The sequence below is a fragment of the Homo sapiens genome, chromosome 2, assembly GCF_000001405.40.
Source record: "Homo sapiens chromosome 2, GRCh38.p14 Primary Assembly".
Classification (NCBI taxonomy): Eukaryota; Metazoa; Chordata; class Mammalia; order Primates; family Hominidae; genus Homo; species Homo sapiens.
Window position 1 is genome coordinate 211,414,645 of NC_000002.12, and position 18,469 is coordinate 211,433,113.

Consider the following 18,469-nt stretch of genomic DNA (forward strand, 5'->3'; position numbering starts at 1 on the left):
GACTTTCAGTTTAGTTTTTTTATCCAGATTACCGTAAAGTGAATGAAAAGTTTTAGGGTCCTTCAGTAGCAAGATGTTTAACAGCAACTTGAAATGAGAAGTCTCCCTCCTCCATCCCCTCTGTTAGCTTAGAAATATGGCCTTTGTGTGGGACAACTGAAATCCAGACTCGATTTCTAGCTCTTTTTCTTATCATTTGTAAGTTACGTAAACTGTCCATAGCTCAATTATTTTTTTAAACTCTTAAAATTGGACTGGCAGTAGTAGTTACCTCCTAGGGCTTTGTGAAATAAAAGTGAGATATTTAATTTAAATCACTTAGCATAGTACTTGGGTTATAGTGAGCATTCAGTAAGTTTTAGCTGATATTATTATTATTATTACTATTTTTATTATTTCATAAAGGGACAGGATTTTGATTTATTGAAATACTAAGGCAAATCCCATTGAAACTTACATTTTCTTTTTTTTTTTTTTTTTTTTTTTTTTTGAGACGGAGTCTCGCTCTGTCGCCCAGGCTGGAGTGCAGTGGCGCGACCTCGGCTCACTGCAAGCTCCGCCTCCCGGGTTCACGCCATTCTCCTGCCTCAGCCTCCCGAGTAGCCGGGACCACAGGCGCCCGCCACCACGCCCGGCTAATTTTTTGTATTTTTTTTAGTAGAGGCGGGGTTTCACCGCGTTAGCCAGGATGGTCTCGATCTCCTGACCTCATGATCCGCCCGCCTCTGCCTCCCAAAGTGCTGGGATTACAGGCGTGAGCCACCGCGCCCGGCCTGAATGTCATTATTGAGAATGACATCATTGTGTCTGCATTATCATTTTGCTCAAACTTCTACTGGTTTATGCATCATAAGGAAACATAGCAAAATATAATAAATCTTACAGGAGAGACCAAAGATTTGCTTGCATTTCTTTCTTTTTATGCAGGAGTTGGGGCTAAATTTATAAAAATCTCATGGTTAATTACAGTGTGTGTGGTAACCTTATAAAAATAAATATCTATATTAAAGTTATGAAATCTAATCTGAGAGCAAAGTGATATGGTGTAAAATAAAGTAGAGAGAATCATATTTTTAGCAGTCAAGATACTCAACTTACATTCAATGACTTAGAAATTGATCAAATTTTTGAGATACCAAACTTCTTTAATTTTCTTCATTCTTCTTCACTTCTGCTTACATTTTATTTTTCAGTTTATTTATATATCTATTCTGGGAGAAAGCGTGTAAGAGGAAGAGGAAAATGCAAATAAATCTATTTAATAAAGTTACTTCTTAGCAGATAGAAAAGAAGGGAAAAAGAAGTTACATTGTGATGATAAATCCATTGCGGGTTACTCACTTCACTAATGTGGAGTAGCTACAATTTCTCTGTCTTCCACTGGCTGAGATAATTAAGAGTTAGCTGATATGTTTTGACAGAGGAGCATTTAATCTTAAAACTATTGCTTACAAATGACTGGATGGGCTTGCAATTGAAACTATGTCTTCCTCTATAAAAATACATGGAAGCTTTTACATTAAATTAAATTTTCTAATATCATTAAAGCTAAAATATCTTCAGCCACATCAGTTTATTCACTATTTTTATTCATTGCTATTTCATTTAATATACAATTTATTATATCAAAAAAATATAATTCTAGGTAACTCAAAAGACCAAACTTAGCCATTGTAACAAAAAAGAAAGAAAAAAAACCTATGGAGAATTTTTAAATTATGCTGAACATGTAATCGAAAATATTAGGCAGCATGTGTTTAAATATCTAGAGAAAAGAAGGCCGCAATGGAAACTAAATCCAATAGACTGAATATACAAAGGGACAATGGCCTGACCATATGTAAAAATAGAAACAAATTGGGAAGCAAACCTCCTTATCTACAATAAACAGCCCAGCAAACCAGCCTTTTGTAAATCAGATTTGCAGGAAGTCAGATTGCTATCTCTAGTAACAACCCAGGAAGCTACACAATTACTTGTATAACAATCAGCTCCAAATGACCAGAATTGATTAATAACTGGCAGCTTTCCTAATTTTTGTCCTTGCTTCCAACTTCAGACCAACAGAAAAAAGTCAAACATGCACCTCTAACCAATGGCTTCTAGTTATCCTGCCTATAGCTTCCCCAGGCCAACAGTCTCTAATGAGGGCATAGATGAAGCCTTCCCTTTTTTTTTTTTTTTTTAACCCTACACAGCTTTCCCACTCCTCTGCGGGCCTTTAAGTCTCTGCCAAAATGTAACTGATGGAGCTGACTTTCTTGCTATAGCAGTCTCTGAATAAATACTCTTTGCTTTTTTCGTTTGGTTAATATTCATTTATTTCCACACTATTGGAGCATCTATTCCAGGTCCATTAATAGGTAACGTGCATGCATACACTAAAAAGGTAATCTTCATAATATTCCGTGAGAAAATTTTTAAATCCCCATTTTACAGATATAGAGCACGGTTTGCAGAAGTTAAATAGCTTCTCATTTTCTCCTATTTTTACATCACGCTAGAGTAAAATAGCTTTTGGTGTATTATTGCTTAAAAAGATTTGAGGCCAGGCATGGTGGCTCACACTTGTAATCTCAGCACTTTGGGAGGCCACGGTGGGTGGATTGCTTGAGCTCTGGAGTTCAAGAGTAGCCTTGGCAACATAAGGAAACCCTGTCTCTACAAAAAAATATAAAAAAAAATTAGCTGGGCAGGGTGGCATGCACCTGTGGTGCTACTCTGGAGGCAGAGATGGGAGGATCTCCTGAGCTTGGCATGTGGAGGTTGCACTGAGCCAAGATCGTGCTACTGCACTCCAGCCTGGGTGACAGAGTGAGATCCTGTCTCAAAAAAGAAAAAATTTTAAGGTAATATTAAAAGTATATCTAACAATAGTAACAGCAGCTGTAAATTAGGTAAGTGTTTTCTAGCATGACTTAAATTTGTATTCATCAACTTTCTGGACAAATATAAACATTGTATTTTGAATTGATTCATTGCTTTAAAGTTGTAATTTATCAAAATATTTGTGGAATTGAAAAAATCAAAAGCACTATAAAAAATTACTTCTGTCTTTATTTGATATTAGAACACATCAGCAGAAATAATTTGCTGGCCAAGCAGTAATTGCATCAACAAGCTTTTCATAGATAGTGGGTAGAGCACCTTATAAGAAAGTGTGATTATTTATGATATATGATATTGACAAGGAAAAAGGTAAAAATGGAAATGGTAAAAATGAAAAGTGAAATTGATGATTCTAAAAGTAGAGTAATAAAATTTGTTTACCTGGCATTATAAATACTCTGCAATTTTTTAAAGTTAATTGCCTAACACTCATATAAGATAGGCAATATAGCATTTAGAAAATGAGGAAACAAAGTCATAGAGATATTCAGAACATTACCTAAAGTTTCTTAATTAGTGCGCAGTGGAGCCTATATTTTCAAAATGCATTATTTTTTTTTTTTTTGGTTTCAAAGTCTATCACATATGCTTAAGAAATATTTGATCAAAATTCACTTTTAAGATGTTCCCTTAGCACGTTATTTAGCCACCAAACTTAAAATGGTAGTAATTTGTTTTCTAATTTAGCCAAACTTAAAATGGAAGTAATTTGTTTTCTAATTCAGCCATGTAGGAAAGAAAGGAGGAACATGGCATTTGTACATGTTAGAAATTTCCGTAAAAGTTACGTAAAGCCAGACTGAAAACTATTAGGACAATATAGATGACAAATAAAGCTTTTTAAATGCCTGAACATAAAATGATACAATGATATTTAATCACCATTTCTTTTCCAAGGACTGAAAAAGTAAAAAGAAATCTACAGGTAACATTGTTTTATAATGTGGAATAAGAAATGATGGCTAAAGGTCAAATAAGTCCACGGGTGATTTAGACTTTGTCTCAATAATTCCATCTAGCTAGCTCAAACCTTTATTAAGAATTTCTTGCACTGAGAATTATAAATTAAAATGAACAAAAAGCTGAAATGTAAGAATTCTTATAAAAAGAAAAAGATTTATAGCATTGCAAGCTAAGAAAGAAAAACTATTTTTTTTTAAATTTCACTGTTGTAACCAGAAGTAATGAATTTGTCACTTAAAATTATAAATACAAGGGTATATAATTTGATCATTTTGCAAAGTGTACAGAGAGCCTCCTTTATACACCTTAACCGCTTTCTTCCCCTCTCACAAGCAAAAGACTGATTATTCATTACCTATCCATTGATCTAATTTTTAAAACTTTTAGTTATCTATTCCCCATTGGGCATGTGATAAAGTTTTCAGTTTGTACTATAATATTTTTTAACAGAAAAGAAAAAATAATTGAGGTCTCCATCTTTGTCTCTTTCCATATCAGATCTTCTAAATGGAGGTAGATGAGTAAAAGGTGTAGAGCAGATTTGAGATGCATTTTATAAGAAAACCACCTGGGAAATTTCCCAAACAAGACAAGTCCCAGACTCTAATCACATCATGGAAATAACATGCTTCAGTAACTTTGAAGCAAACCTACAGTGTAGTAGGCAGATATCTAGATTACATTATTCCTCTCTTCCACTGACTAGCTGTGTGACACCAGTCATATCACCTGACTTCTCTGTGGCAAGTTTCTTCCTTTGAAAGAAGGGGATGATAATAATAGAACCTCATGAAGTTTGTTTAAGGATTAAGGAGGTTAACATATATGTGTTGAATAGTAAACACCAGGGGAATATTACTTATTACAATCAATATGAAATAAAGAAAATTATGTTTGTTAGATAATGAGCAGCAAGTTGAAAATATTCTTATGGCTATGGTCAAGAGAAATCGGATGCTGTCGGTTCTACTAGCTATGATAATGTTCTTAGATTAAGAGAAAAGAATTATCTTCTAGAAAAAATTAAGCATCATGTTTATATCTTATCAATGGAAGAAACTGATTACAGACACAAATTTACTACTTCTTCATGCTCCGTACTGGTCAGTGAATACTGGATTACAGCACTTACTATGCAGTCCCTCTATCTGTATGATTCTTTGATTAAGGTTTTCACTTCTTGAAAGCAGAAGTTGTATCAAAATTCTTTGAGTCTTAAATGTATACTAATGCTTCACATACAGTGGTACTCAATATATGTTGAATGTATGAGGAATGAATTTATAAAAATAAATGCATGGATTTGACAGCTTTCAAAGAAAGAATGGAATTCATATAGAGTAGGTTTAACATTTAAAATGTAAAGTGTTTTCAGAAACTTCCTTCAAAACTTAAATCTACTTCTTAAAAACAAAAATCTACTTCTCAGCAGCCTTTTCGATGTGATTAGGTTCAAAGGACTGCACGGTTTTCTGTGTTTCTACTTCAACTTGACAGAAAATATTTAATTTTTCTTAAATAAGTGAAAGAGATTTATACTTGTATTACTTCTTGACTAATATATCATAATATCTTTTTAAGAAAGAAAAGTAGAAAGCCTACTTGGTAGGAATTTTCATTTATTTATATACACATAATGGTTTTATTAGTTGGAATTGTTTTTTAAAGTTAAGATTTGTTTTAAATAAATTAAGATGAGGAAAATGTTTTGCTTCTGAAATCTTGAAGGTATTTCAGAGTACATGTTGTATTGTCCATGCTTGTCTTCCAAAATTAACTACATATAGCAAGATTGGCACATCTTTTGTGGGTATGGTATATTTTTAATCTAGGCATCACATTGATTTGAGCTATATAATTATTTTGAAATGTTAGTGCTTATGAACTATTACATGATTTTATATCTCAGAAAGAATATGATATGTGTATATAATTATTTCTTACCCTATTCGAGTCAATTCTTGCTCTGGAAGTATAGATGGGAGGTGGGATGTTGAAAGCCTGAGGGACCAAGTACTCCTCAGCATCCATCATATCTTCCAAATCCTCTTCATCCAAGAGATTCTGAAAGAACTTGCTGTCATTTGGACTGGGAAGCTTCATACGATCATCACCCTAAAAGAAAGATTGCCCATCAGACACAAATATGATTCTTTCTTATCTTAAATATGTGGTCTCTGCAATAAATTTATGTAATATCATAACAAATGGTTGAAAAATTCATACACACATTTTAAAAAAACAAGTCTTTAGCACAACCACCGGCCATTAAGAAACCTATAACATGCTTAGAAATGATAGGGCCAGGTAAACAAACTTTATACAAGGAGAATATGATAAATGCCATTAGAGAATAATAAAGCAAAATCAAAAGATGTTTTTAGGGAGGTAAAATCAATTTCAGGTCTGAAAATAATTGTTCATTGCCCAGATAGTGTATGGGTTGCAACTTTAAGAATAAACAATAAAAGGTGATCAATTTATCAACGTTTATTTGGTTGGTTTGATGCTGTAGGATTATCAGGACCATAGGGTCTATACTTTATTCTATAGCATACTGACTGCATTATCAAAGTAGGGGCATTCAAAACTCACAGTGCAAGTGGCAAATAGAGTAAAGGAGTATGAGAAAGACACCAAAACCTTTGTTATGCTCTTCCTCACCTCGTCTATTTCTTAAGTATTTTTCCTATATTTTTAAAGTTACATAATTTTTGGAAACAATTTCAGTTCATGAAAACTAATTTTGGGGAAAAAATAAATGGAAATAAGTATCTTCTAAAACCTAGCTTTTATCTTTATGTCAGACTGTCGATATGAAAATAAAGGCTACCTTGCTTTACTGAGGAAACATAATACACTCTAGTCCAAGGCCCATTTGTTTAGAGTTTAGGTGAAATTAATCCTAGAGAAATATATTATTATTTTTTAATTATCCAAGTCTATCTATTTTTCTAGTGTTAAATATAAAATATTTCTTTGGTTGGTTGATTAAAATGTGCATCAATTCATTTGAATTGAGTTATTGCTTAGATACTGCATATCTCTCCAAATAAAACAAAACATATTTTAAAATATTTTTGGGGAAATTAAATAATATACTGAAACTTTTGATTCACTGTCTTCAAGCATGGGCAAGATTAAAACAAAAATCTGTCTTCCTTTTGTTCCGAAAAAAGAAAATTATACTAATGAACATGACTTACACATAATGTTAATAAAATCAAGGTGCTAAAATAAGTGTCTGAGGATTAAGACCTCTTTATGTATATGTATAATCATAATTATCTGTTCAGTAGCAGAGCCACTTGAATACTAAGGGAAGGTGCTAAAAGGTGGATCTGACGTGAAATAAAAAGCTCTTTTCCATAAGTCATGTCACATGATAATTCTGCTTAATTAATCAACATGTTTGTGGTCCTTTCCACAGTTCCAAAGTCCTGATACTACTCATTTTGCAGTGAGTTTGCCATTGGCCTAGTCTTAAAGGCATAAGTCAAATGTACTCACCTGAATAACTAGGTATCTTTGAGGGTCTCGAGCCATCCTTGAAAACTCAGCAGCCAGTTCCTTAAATTTAGGTCTACTGTCAGCATCAATCATCCAACCTGGAAATTTACACAGTGAAAATGTCACTATATTCGTAACTAGAAAGGAGTTGAAATTTAAATTTTGTGAAAATATGAGCAAAAGTTTGAAAAATGTTGTTTTAATCGTAATGATCTGAGAAAGAAAGCAAGCTAGTGAAAGAAACGACTCAATTGGTAAGGCTTTATCGGTCTCTTTGTTGATATTCATAACTAAATGTAATGTACTGTAAAACAAAAGATAAATTTTTTCTCTGATGTGTATAGACGTGACTGCAATATAAGTTATTATTTTGTATTAGGAGTGACATAGGAGAGAAGATTTGGTTACAATGCTTACACTGGCACAAACGGGAAAAGAGGAATTAAAAGCAACTTTCTTGTGCTACATTTGTCCTGGTGGACAAAAAAAAAAAAAAAAAAACTAATGCAAAGTGATTGGTAATGCCTGTTCAGCAATAGACATTAGCTTATCTTAGTACTAGCTTGTCTAGTATAAAAATACTATCAGCAATTTTCAAGGTATGTATTCTTATTTAGCTGGGAGTCTAGATAAAGCAGACCTTATCTCTACAGGCTCTGTTTAGCTAATGAGATGACAAGAATAAAAGTATCAAGCTTTCCTTGATTTTCTTGCCAAATTATCCTCTTCTTAGGTATTAAAACCCCGAAAGAAAGGTAAAATTCTCCATTAGGGAAAGTGTTTTCTTGGTTTTACATAATTAATTTCATCAGAGCTAAATTCTGATGAGTTTAAATCATTTCCTATGCTAGTTACAGGATTAAATTATATAAGACATGCATGTTTTTAAACTTTCTTCCATAGATGTCTACCAAACAATATTTAATAGAATAAGGCTGTAAAGCTTGTTCCTTCCTTTTCCGGGAGTTCAGTTTTTATTCCTATTCTGGGAATTTTTTGGGTGTCATTTTATGTATCATTAATGTCATCTGCTTTTTTTCTCCCCAAACAAAGCTCAAATGCTCTGTATTCTATATGCATTCATTTGAAAAAATGCTTGCTAATGCCAAGATGCTAATGAGAAAACAGGTGTTTCTGAAACTATTGAAGCCAAAAAAGGTTAACCACAGTTGAGGTATCGGTTTCTTTCCAACTAAATATTGAGTAAATAGAACTATGCTTAGTGAAAAGGGCAGGCTGACCTGAACTGCAAAGAACATTTTTTATTTCCTCCCTCACTGTCAGAATGTATCACACATGTCATGAATATAAATCTGAGTAGACCTGGGTCCAAAGTCTCTTATTAATAAGATGCTTATTCACCTTCACAAGTTTGTTTCTTTGCTAACCCCGTGTAAATCAGAAGGGGAAAGCCTTAGATTATACAAGAGAGATTGCTGCATGTTAATCTCACTTAAATTAAGCCAGAAACTCCAGAGACTTCCTCAATTCTATTTAAATTAAGGGCCTGTGCTTCAAAAACACATTTATAATACATATGTGTCTGGGACATAGGAAGAAAAAAGAAAAGTAAGAGTTTGATGTAAACAAATGATCAAATTGAAAAAAGTAAACATTTATAATCTTTTTAGCTCACTATAGATTCATTTCTTCCCACTTCCCACCTTGTCCTGCTAATTTGCTCCTGACTAAAACCAGTAGACCTATTTCTATTAAATTAATTTTTAAAACTGTCAGTTTCAAGCTTTTTTCCTTCATGTTTAGATCATTTATGTAGCCTGATATTTTCCCATAAAGGTCACTAATGTTTGATATTTTCCCATAAAGGTCACTAATGTTATTACTAACATTCATGTTAGTAATGTTAGTAATAACATTATTGTGACTAATTACCTCTCTTTACGACAGGCAATTTGACTGTCATGGAGATTATAAGAATAAAAGAGTCATAATTTTGACTTCATAGCATGGAAGAGTATTACTTTATATTAATAATAGTCACAACAAAGAGGCGTTCATATGTTCCTTTCATAATTGTTTTTGAACTGTCGTATTTTTCAATACAGAGAAATGTTGTACAGATTGAGTAATCTCTGCTATTACTTTACTAAGAATGATGATGGTGATAACATTATTTTGCAGTCTTACATTTGACCATGACCATGTAAACGTCAATAGTGCAGATGGGAGGCTGAGGCAAACGTTCTCCTTTCTCTAATAAATCAGGGATTTCTCGCGTTGGAATTCCATCATAGGGTTTTCCTCCAAAGGTCATCAGTTCCCATATAGTAACTCCTATATTGGAGAAAAAATTCTTACTTAAGCATATTAACAACATATGTTGAACAAACCAGCACTATACCAGTAGTAAAAGAATACTCCTTACAGGTCAATCCAAACACCAATCAATTAAAAAAAAAAAAGCTCCATAAATTCCTGCATCCATTATGAGAACCCCAATGTCAAAATCTTTGTGGGGGAATTCAATTTTCTTATTATTGTCTTGGAATTTCTAATGGATAGAAGAGACAATTTACAGTGGATGTCAGCATATAGAATCTGTTCCCCATTTCTGCCTATAGGTAACACTAATGTTTGCTGATCCAAGTTATACCACGTTACAGTCCATAAAACAATTCATCTACTATATATACATATGTATTCAGTACCAATAAATATGCTTTTGCCAGTAAAATAAGATATTGACTAATTTTAAGATCAGCATCTTTGCTATAAAAGGCTTCCAGAATAATTACCTTATGTTACAATAAAGAATTGTGACTCTCTCTAACTTACACAAAGAAAACAGTTGAATAAAACATAGACTTCTTTAGCACATATGAGAGCCTGAGAGAGGAATGTTCCATACGTAATATATAGTACATGTGAAGTAGTCACCAACAAAATTGTGAAGGGGATAGAAAGTAGTTTATTTTTTAGGTAATAAAATGGCTTTCTTGAATCACTGGGACATTGATTTTCTCTGCAAAAGCAAATACCCTAAATGGTAGCATGCAAACAGCCAGTTTTGGTGATAATGATGGTTCTGATTTGAGCAATAATATATACACTAAATATCTTTTTTGTAATGTAATGATTATATAATTTAAGATAATATTTTCTTAGGGATAAAGATTTTTAAGTTCAGACATGGCTAGCTGGGCACAATAATATTACAAAGTGAATTTTGATTGATGTGTATATACAGTCATCTTTCAGTATAAAATCCATTAATTAGAGCTATGTTTTCTTTCCTATTGCCATCTGTAATGAATTATTTACTCAGGCTGAAGTATTTTTTAGTTTATAACAGTTATCATTGACTGATAACAAAAATACAAAGCTTAAAATATAAAACTATGTGGAATTTAAAATTATTCTTTCTAATAGAATATTAACTATTACCTGATTTTTTTGGTTAATATTTACATCTTAGGATTTTAGGTATATTGTTAACATGTACCTAGTGACAATTTAATTGACTGATTGTTATTACATCTTTAATTTTGTATATTAAGGAGAAGCTCCTAAAATCTATCATAAAAATTTTCTATGAGGCAGGCTGCAACAAGTTAAGTGGATGACTGTTCATCTCTAGATAGTCATACTTACAGAATATATATATATGTTTTATATTTTAGAATATTTTATATTTAGAATAGTTTATATTTTAGAATTATCTATTTTGTATTTTAGACAGGGTCTCAATCTGTCACTCAGAATGGAATGAAGAGGCATGATCACAGCTCACTGCACCCTCAACTTCCCCAGGCTCACATGATCTTTTCACCTCAGCTTCCTGAGTAGCTGGGACTACAGGCATGAGCCACCATGCCTGGCTGATTTTCGTATTTTTTAGTAGATAAAGGGTTTCAGCATGTTGCCCAGGCTGGTCTCAAACTCCTGGGTTTGAGCCATCTGCCCACATCGGCCTCCCTAAATGCTAGGATTACAAGCACGAGACACCGTGCGGGGCCTAGAATATATATTTAAGGAGAACACTTTATTAACTTAGGTAGGTAGTTATAAAAGATAGAGTAGATACTCTCACATTTCTAGCAGAACTCCCAACATAAGCAAGATACAAAGCAACTGTAAATCAAAATAATAGAAAATATAAAATACAAAAACAAAAGCCAAAATATAAAAAACTCTACTTCTTCTGATAATAATCCAATTATATCCTTGTAAAGGTGATGACAAGATAGGGTTAGAAAAGGATGGTTTCAAGCAAAAGAACAATGTCAGGAAAGCTAAAACAAAACATCCTCGAATTTTACTTGCAATTCCTTTATCTTAAGATGTATATCACAGCCAGTGCTTATTTTGTAAAAATAAAAATGCACCTAGTGAGAATTTTCCATAAAGGTGCACTGTAAACAAGGTTATGCAACTTTATCTGCCTTTAACGCCTTTTGCAATCAACTATGATATATCACAACATTTTTTAAATGCCTTATGAATATGGGTTGATGACCTGGGCTGTGTTTCAAAACAGAGTACTACCTATCTATTTATTTATTTTTGCTGAACAGTTCCTGGGATTTTGCAACTCAACATGAAGAAAAATGTTACACCCTGAGTAACAAGATTTTCCCCAAAAGACAAATTTTACTATTAAAAATATGACTGTTCTGCCCAGTTTATATATATCTTGAGCTAATTTAAATTTGCCTTCAGGAGACTGCCTATATATCTTGAGCTAATTTAAATTTGCCTTCAGGAGACTGCCATATTTGATTCAGGGAACTGTAAGTAGAAAGAAAAAGAAAAAAGTATATACATATATAAAATATACTATATGATATAATATATAAATCTGACATAATATATATTCTATAAACCTATCTATATCATGTAATGTATAAATGCTAATCTACATGCTAATCTGTATCATATAATATATAAAGTTATCACAGAATACATGCAATAGATGTTTTTCTATACACTTCTTACAATAGTTTAGCAAGTAAGTTTTGTCAAGCATTTCCACTACATTTGTCTATACCTCAGACACACGACATTTTCTATTTCTAAGCTGAGTAAAATAAACACATGAAACCTTCATGAAAATTTTACCACCTCCTATGGAATACATATGTGGAAGGAATAACCCACTTGATTGAAATGTCTTAAATACTTTTTTAAAGATAGTTAATTTTTTCCTAGATAAGAATTGTAAGTTCTTCAGTGATTGAATGGTTTATATCTTTTTTTTTCCAACAATGCAAAAAAGGTAAAACTTTTTTTTAAGCTTAAGTTTGAGTAACATAAATTGTACCATACATTTAAATCTCACCACCACCCTTTTATTTAAGTGGGCATTATGCTTTTTATTTGTAAGAAATGCTAATTTTATATGATATATTTAAACTTAGAAACGTATTGACTCCTTCTTGGTATTACCGGACTTACTTAAATTTTAAGTAGCCAGACAGATGCTAAATAGCTCATCTTAACAATTAAGTTAAACACAATAAAATAAATGTTCTAATTATAAATGTCACTCTTTTCCAGTTCATATTATTCACTCTGTAATATTTCTGTAACTCCACAAGTAGTTTGTAAATTAAAATTAATGTTGTAATTAGCAATCTTCTCTTTTACCATGTTCATTGCTCTAACTTACTGCTGTCAGTAATTTTTCTTTGTTATGACAATAATCTGTTTTCTACTATAGAACATAAATTCTTACATGCAAGAAACCCACAAAAAAGTTGGTTTTGTTTTTGTTTGAATATTTATTGTATTCAGAGTTATGTTTTTGAAAGTTGCTTAAAATTAACACCATGAAATTCTATGAAATTGTCCCTAAACTAAAATTGGCTGATTTTTTTTTTTTCTGTCAAAATGATCAGGCAAGTTCCTACAAAACCACAGCTTATGGAAAACATCTTAGCAGAAATATTAGTATATTACATTGTAATAAACCAGGAAAAAAAAAAAAACAGAAAAAGGCAGATAGCAATGCTATTTAGAATATTTTGTTGCTCTTCAATGGGAACACATGGACACAGGGAGGAGAACATCACACATCGGGGCCTGTCGGTGGATGGAGGGCAAGGGGAGGGAGAGCATTAGGACAAATACCTAATGCATGCAGGGCTTAAAACCTAGATGACGGGTTGATAGGTACAGCAAACCACCATGCCACATGTATACCTACGCAACAAACCTGCAGGTTCTGCATGTGTATCGCAGAACTTAAAATAAAATAAAATAAAATAAAATAAAATATTTTTTTTTCATTGAGAAAGCAAAGAGTTAACTGCTTTAGGAAATTAGGCTTATCAATAGGTATTTATAACACAACAAAATAATTTAGCTTAAGATATTTCACATGAACTTAACATATGTATTTTTGCTTTACAAGCTTTAATTCGCAAAGAAGATTTATTTACCATAGCTCCAAACGTCACTCTGATGGGTGAATTTCCTGTAATGTATACACTCCAGAGCCATCCATTTAATTGGCATCTATAGAGAAGTAAGAAGTAAAAGTTTTAAAATTACATTAAAAATTCATTTCTATATGTATTTCCTAAATGTGAGTCTTTGGGCTGGCCTTAATCATATTTTTTTATTATGTGTGTATAGATATAACTATAACTATAAATATATGTTAATTTATGACTATAACTATAAATATATGTTAATTTATAAAATACATAAAGTGAATTAATCTAAAGATGTACTATACTTATTCATTTTTTATTTTATTTATTTTTTGAGACAGGGTCTCACTCTGTCACCCAGGCTAGAGTGCAATGGCACAATCTCAGCTCACTGCAATCTCTGCCTACCAGGCTCAAGTGATCCTCCCACCTTAGCCTCTGAGTAGCCGGGACCACAGGGGTGCGCCACCATGCCTGGCTAATTTTTGCATTTTTTTAGAGATGATCATCATGTTGCCCAGGCTAGCCTAGAACTCCTGAGCTCAAGTGATCTGCCTGCTTTGACCTCCCAAAATGCTGGGATTACATACGTGAGCCACCCTGCTTGGTCATACTTATTTTTTTAAAAAAAAAGCTTTATAAACAATTAAAGGTAAAAATAATTAAGTGGGGATAACTTTCTATAGTTCTTAATTAACATTCAGTAATTAAGTTGCTAGTAAATATTATGATTTATAATATTAAATCTAAACATCTAATACACATGCTTCTAAAAATGTGTTTATAGTTTTTTCTCAAAAAATGAGATTTGTTATACTTTCAGTTATCCCTTTTCACCCTCAGACACATTTTGGGCCACCAGTACAATGGACTCTTTCTATACTTGCCCCCTCCCTTCTCCTCTCATATAATTTGGCCACTAAAACGCCTAAAATCATGAATTCCAAAGTTAGCCTTGCTTTGTTTTCCAGCTTCAAATGACCCCTCTCATCTTGGTTAGCCAGTATTGAAAATATGTACCATTTTCAAAATAGGAACTATATAAAAGAATGTGAAAGGATCAGCACAAATCTATCATCACTACAAGAAAAACATCTCAACCCACATATCCTGCTGATGATGGGTCAGCAGAATGAGTTTCAACTATGAAGGGCAGCATTATATAGCTGGGAATATAATTAGATTCTATGGAATAAAGATAAACACTTCTACTTTGCAGTTGAAAGCTTAAAACTAAATAGGCCTTTGAAATCATGAGGTTGGCTGCTCACCAAGGTGACACCAAGGTAACTCTATGACAGAATCATGGTATTCAGTGAAAGGGAAGAGAAGACACATTGAAAGTAATTTCCCTACGGGCAAGGAGTTAGCAGACTTTATGGACTACGGACATTGTGTTAAAGAAGTAAGTTTAAATCACAGGTAGCTTGATAAAGACTTAATAGTTACCAAGCATTTAAAGCTATAATGAATCTTGCTTTAGACAAATCTTATGTCTCAAATCTTATGTTCTCAAGACAAGTGAAGCCATGTGATTTATAGACTTCAACTTCTGTGCAGTCTTAGAGTGAATTTCAATGCTGTGGTCTCAGACTACTGCAATTTGGTAGTAAACAAACAGGCAAAATAGGGTAGTTTTAAAATTTTTTGTGTTATTTTGCCTTGTGATAAAGTTAAGCATTTGGAAACCTATCATTGCAAAATATTTATAATATATATTTGGATGGCCCATATGATAAATAAGGCATATAATAAATATATTTATATGACATGAGAATAACTGGGTTTTTTTTTGTTGTTGTTAGTGTAAGCTTATAGGTCACCATAGCCTAAGATTGCATTTGCTTATTTCATTTGGGCTGCCTGACCTTAGGTTTCACTAGGTGAAGCTAGAGGGACCTCCATATGAAGTCTAGTCCTAATAGTTTGGCCAAGAAAGTCAAGCTAAAGAGAAGGTTAATGAGGAAATACAAGACATGGGACTAAGGCATGGATTGAAACCATATAGTGGGTGAAAGAGTCAGGAACTCCATTGTCAGGCAGAGGCTGAGACTAGAGGGTCAGAAAAGGTAGACGAGGCAGTGGCTCTGTTCAGGGTTCTTTGTAGTACCTAAACTTTTCTCTAATCTATGAGAGAGAATCTATGTTCTCTATAAGAGTTAGTGCTACGGTCTTTAGATCAGTGGGACAATTTCTACAGCCATGTGTTAAAGTTTAATTTCTAGAAGCCCTAAGGATCCACCCACTTTCCATCACTGGACCTAACATGAAGGTCACCTGGGTACAGACATGCATCATCTTATTTTAGCTACTTTTGAGAAACGGAAGCTGGTAATATATGGTATATATATATGTGTGTGTATATGATATATATATACACACACATATATATATACCCGGGGCAGGAGAAGAGGCAAATGGTAGAACCAAGGCTTAATAATCTCCTAAGCTTCAGGCTTATTGGTTTCTTGTATAAAATATAAGGAGATAAAAGGATATTATACTATATTTTCAAGCAAGATTGCTCTCAAAAAGATACCCACCTTTCCTCCATCAGCATTGTACTCTTTTTCATCTCCTTCCAAGAGTCTGGCTAGCCCAAAATCTGTGATTTTCACATGGTTTGGAGATTTCACTAAGACATTACGGGCTGCCAAATCCCGATGAACGAGTCGTCTTTCTTCCAGGTACATCATTCCCTGAAAAATATCAAGTTCCTTAATGATATTCAGTTAATGCCCAGGTTTTCCCATTTTTCTAAAACAAAGTTTCTTAGCCTTCAGTTGGAAGTGCCTAATTTTTTAAGTGAAGCCAGAATCCTAGAATATTTTCAAAATTAGAGAAAACCTGATTTGGGGGACAGCAAACCACAAACAGCTTTTGGTGTTTTCTCCCTAAAGTCCTATGAGATGAAAGAATTACTTTCACATGAGCTAAATGTTAGATCATTATTTTTCCAAGTGACTTGATATCCTTTTGCAAACTCTTTCTTTAGTGAGGTGTGCAGGTGTTGTAGTAAATAAGCTAACATATGCTTGGATTGACCCACATATTTGTAATCATTCCTTCTCAATAACTTCTGCTTCACGTCATCTTCCCCCTACACATCCAAACAAATACCTTTATCCATAATTTTTAGAAATATTTCATTTGAAGTTTAATGGTGCCAAAATCACCATTATAGATTCTATGGAGGCTGAAGAATTATACTATTCTTATTATACTATTCTTATTAATCATGCACAGAATGAAGTATATACCCTAGCAGTCTTACAAACCTGTAATTTTTAAGAAGACTTCTATGGTATCAGTAGTCATTATGAGAATCCATAGTGAAATTACACAGTTTGTAATGACACTGAAATTAGCCTTTAATATTTTACCTTTATAAAACATAGAGGGAAATTAAAAATAAAATTTGTTGGTGTTTAGCAGCAAGAGACATAGCTGGCTCTCCTCACAATACATCCATGTATAACAATATATAACACATGTTATGTATTAATATCTATACAAATTCAGAAAAAATAATCTAGAGGAGTAATAATTACTTTATTAATTGTACTTCAGTACTAGGTAAACTAAGGGTTGCTAAACATTATGTTTAACAAAAGAACTTATGTAAAACTAAGGAAATAAACCTGAGGCCGAGATTAGAGTGAATATATTTTTGTTGAAGTGTTAGGGGAAATTCTATATTTGATGATTTTTGTGGTAAAATGATCACCATTTAAAAATAGATTAGAATTATTATAAAATGTTGAAGCATACTCTCATGCCAATTGCAAATCAATGCTGTGGGCAGTTAACATTACAACTGCAGGACTTTGAAGGATTAATGGTTTCTAATATCAAAACAAAAGCTGTGGAAAACAGACACATAAATCACACAGGTCAAAAAATTATGAACCGTATACCTGGTGTAGTGTAAAGAGAAGATTACTTCAAACAGCATCATGAGCCAAACCCCATATAAATGCACATTAAACACAACCAGTGGGGATACTGCCTGATATGGTCTAATCAGTCAACAGTTGGGTGACGCTGTGTGTATTAGTGTTTTCTGAAATCAACTTACAACCGAGATTTATGGGACTTTTGCCCTCTCTCCTAAACAGTGCTTTGTGTTTGAGTACATTAAATTAGAAATTCCTATAATAAAGTACATCTGAGAACATATAGCCCTTATATGACTTAAAGGATCAAAAAAAAAAAAAAACAAATAAATGCATTGCCTTGGAGATAGAATATTTTCATATCTTCCCAAGTAATACTATCCCTTTAACAAATGTTCATGAAACATTCATTATTCTCTTTCTTATCACCTTCATATCAGAACACGGAATATATGTTGGCAACAGGTTAACACGTACTATATGCTGGACTATATAGACAGATACTGAGAAGACAAAAAAGATTCAGATAAGGTCTGTATATTAAAGGAGAACAGAAGCTAATTAATAAAGTGGGCGGATAGGGAATAAAAACTTGAATGGACTGATGTGATACATGCAAGGCATTTAAAGAGAACTCTATTCTGAGGCCCTTATGTAGTATAGCCTAGCAAGTATGCGTGAGAGGAGAGACTTCAAAGCAGTACCAAGGCCTAAGTAAGGGTTGAATGATGTCTCCCAATTGGACAGAGTGAGGGTAAAACTGCAGGCAAACAGAACAAGCACAGGGGTAGCAGTACCATGGCGTACTTGCACCAA

At 33.0% G+C, this 18,469-nt stretch overlaps 1 protein-coding gene across 11 annotated transcripts in view; it reads right to left on the reverse strand.

Moving 5' to 3' along the window:
- The window catches only part of ERBB4 (erb-b2 receptor tyrosine kinase 4), a 1,163,086-nt gene that overhangs the window by 38,928 nt on the left and 1,105,689 nt on the right, over window positions 1-18,469 (reverse strand). For all 11 annotated transcript variants that reach the window (NM_001042599.2, NM_005235.3, NM_001439006.1 and 8 more), the window contains 5 exons: window positions 16,301-16,456; window positions 13,764-13,839; window positions 9,511-9,657; window positions 7,363-7,460; window positions 5,797-5,967 (listed from right to left, as the gene is read on the reverse strand). In NM_001042599.2, the coding sequence (NP_001036064.1) occupies window positions 5,797-5,967; window positions 7,363-7,460; window positions 9,511-9,657; window positions 13,764-13,839; window positions 16,301-16,456 (648 nt within the window). The remainder of the gene's footprint in view (window positions 1-5,796; window positions 5,968-7,362; window positions 7,461-9,510; window positions 9,658-13,763; window positions 13,840-16,300; window positions 16,457-18,469) is intronic.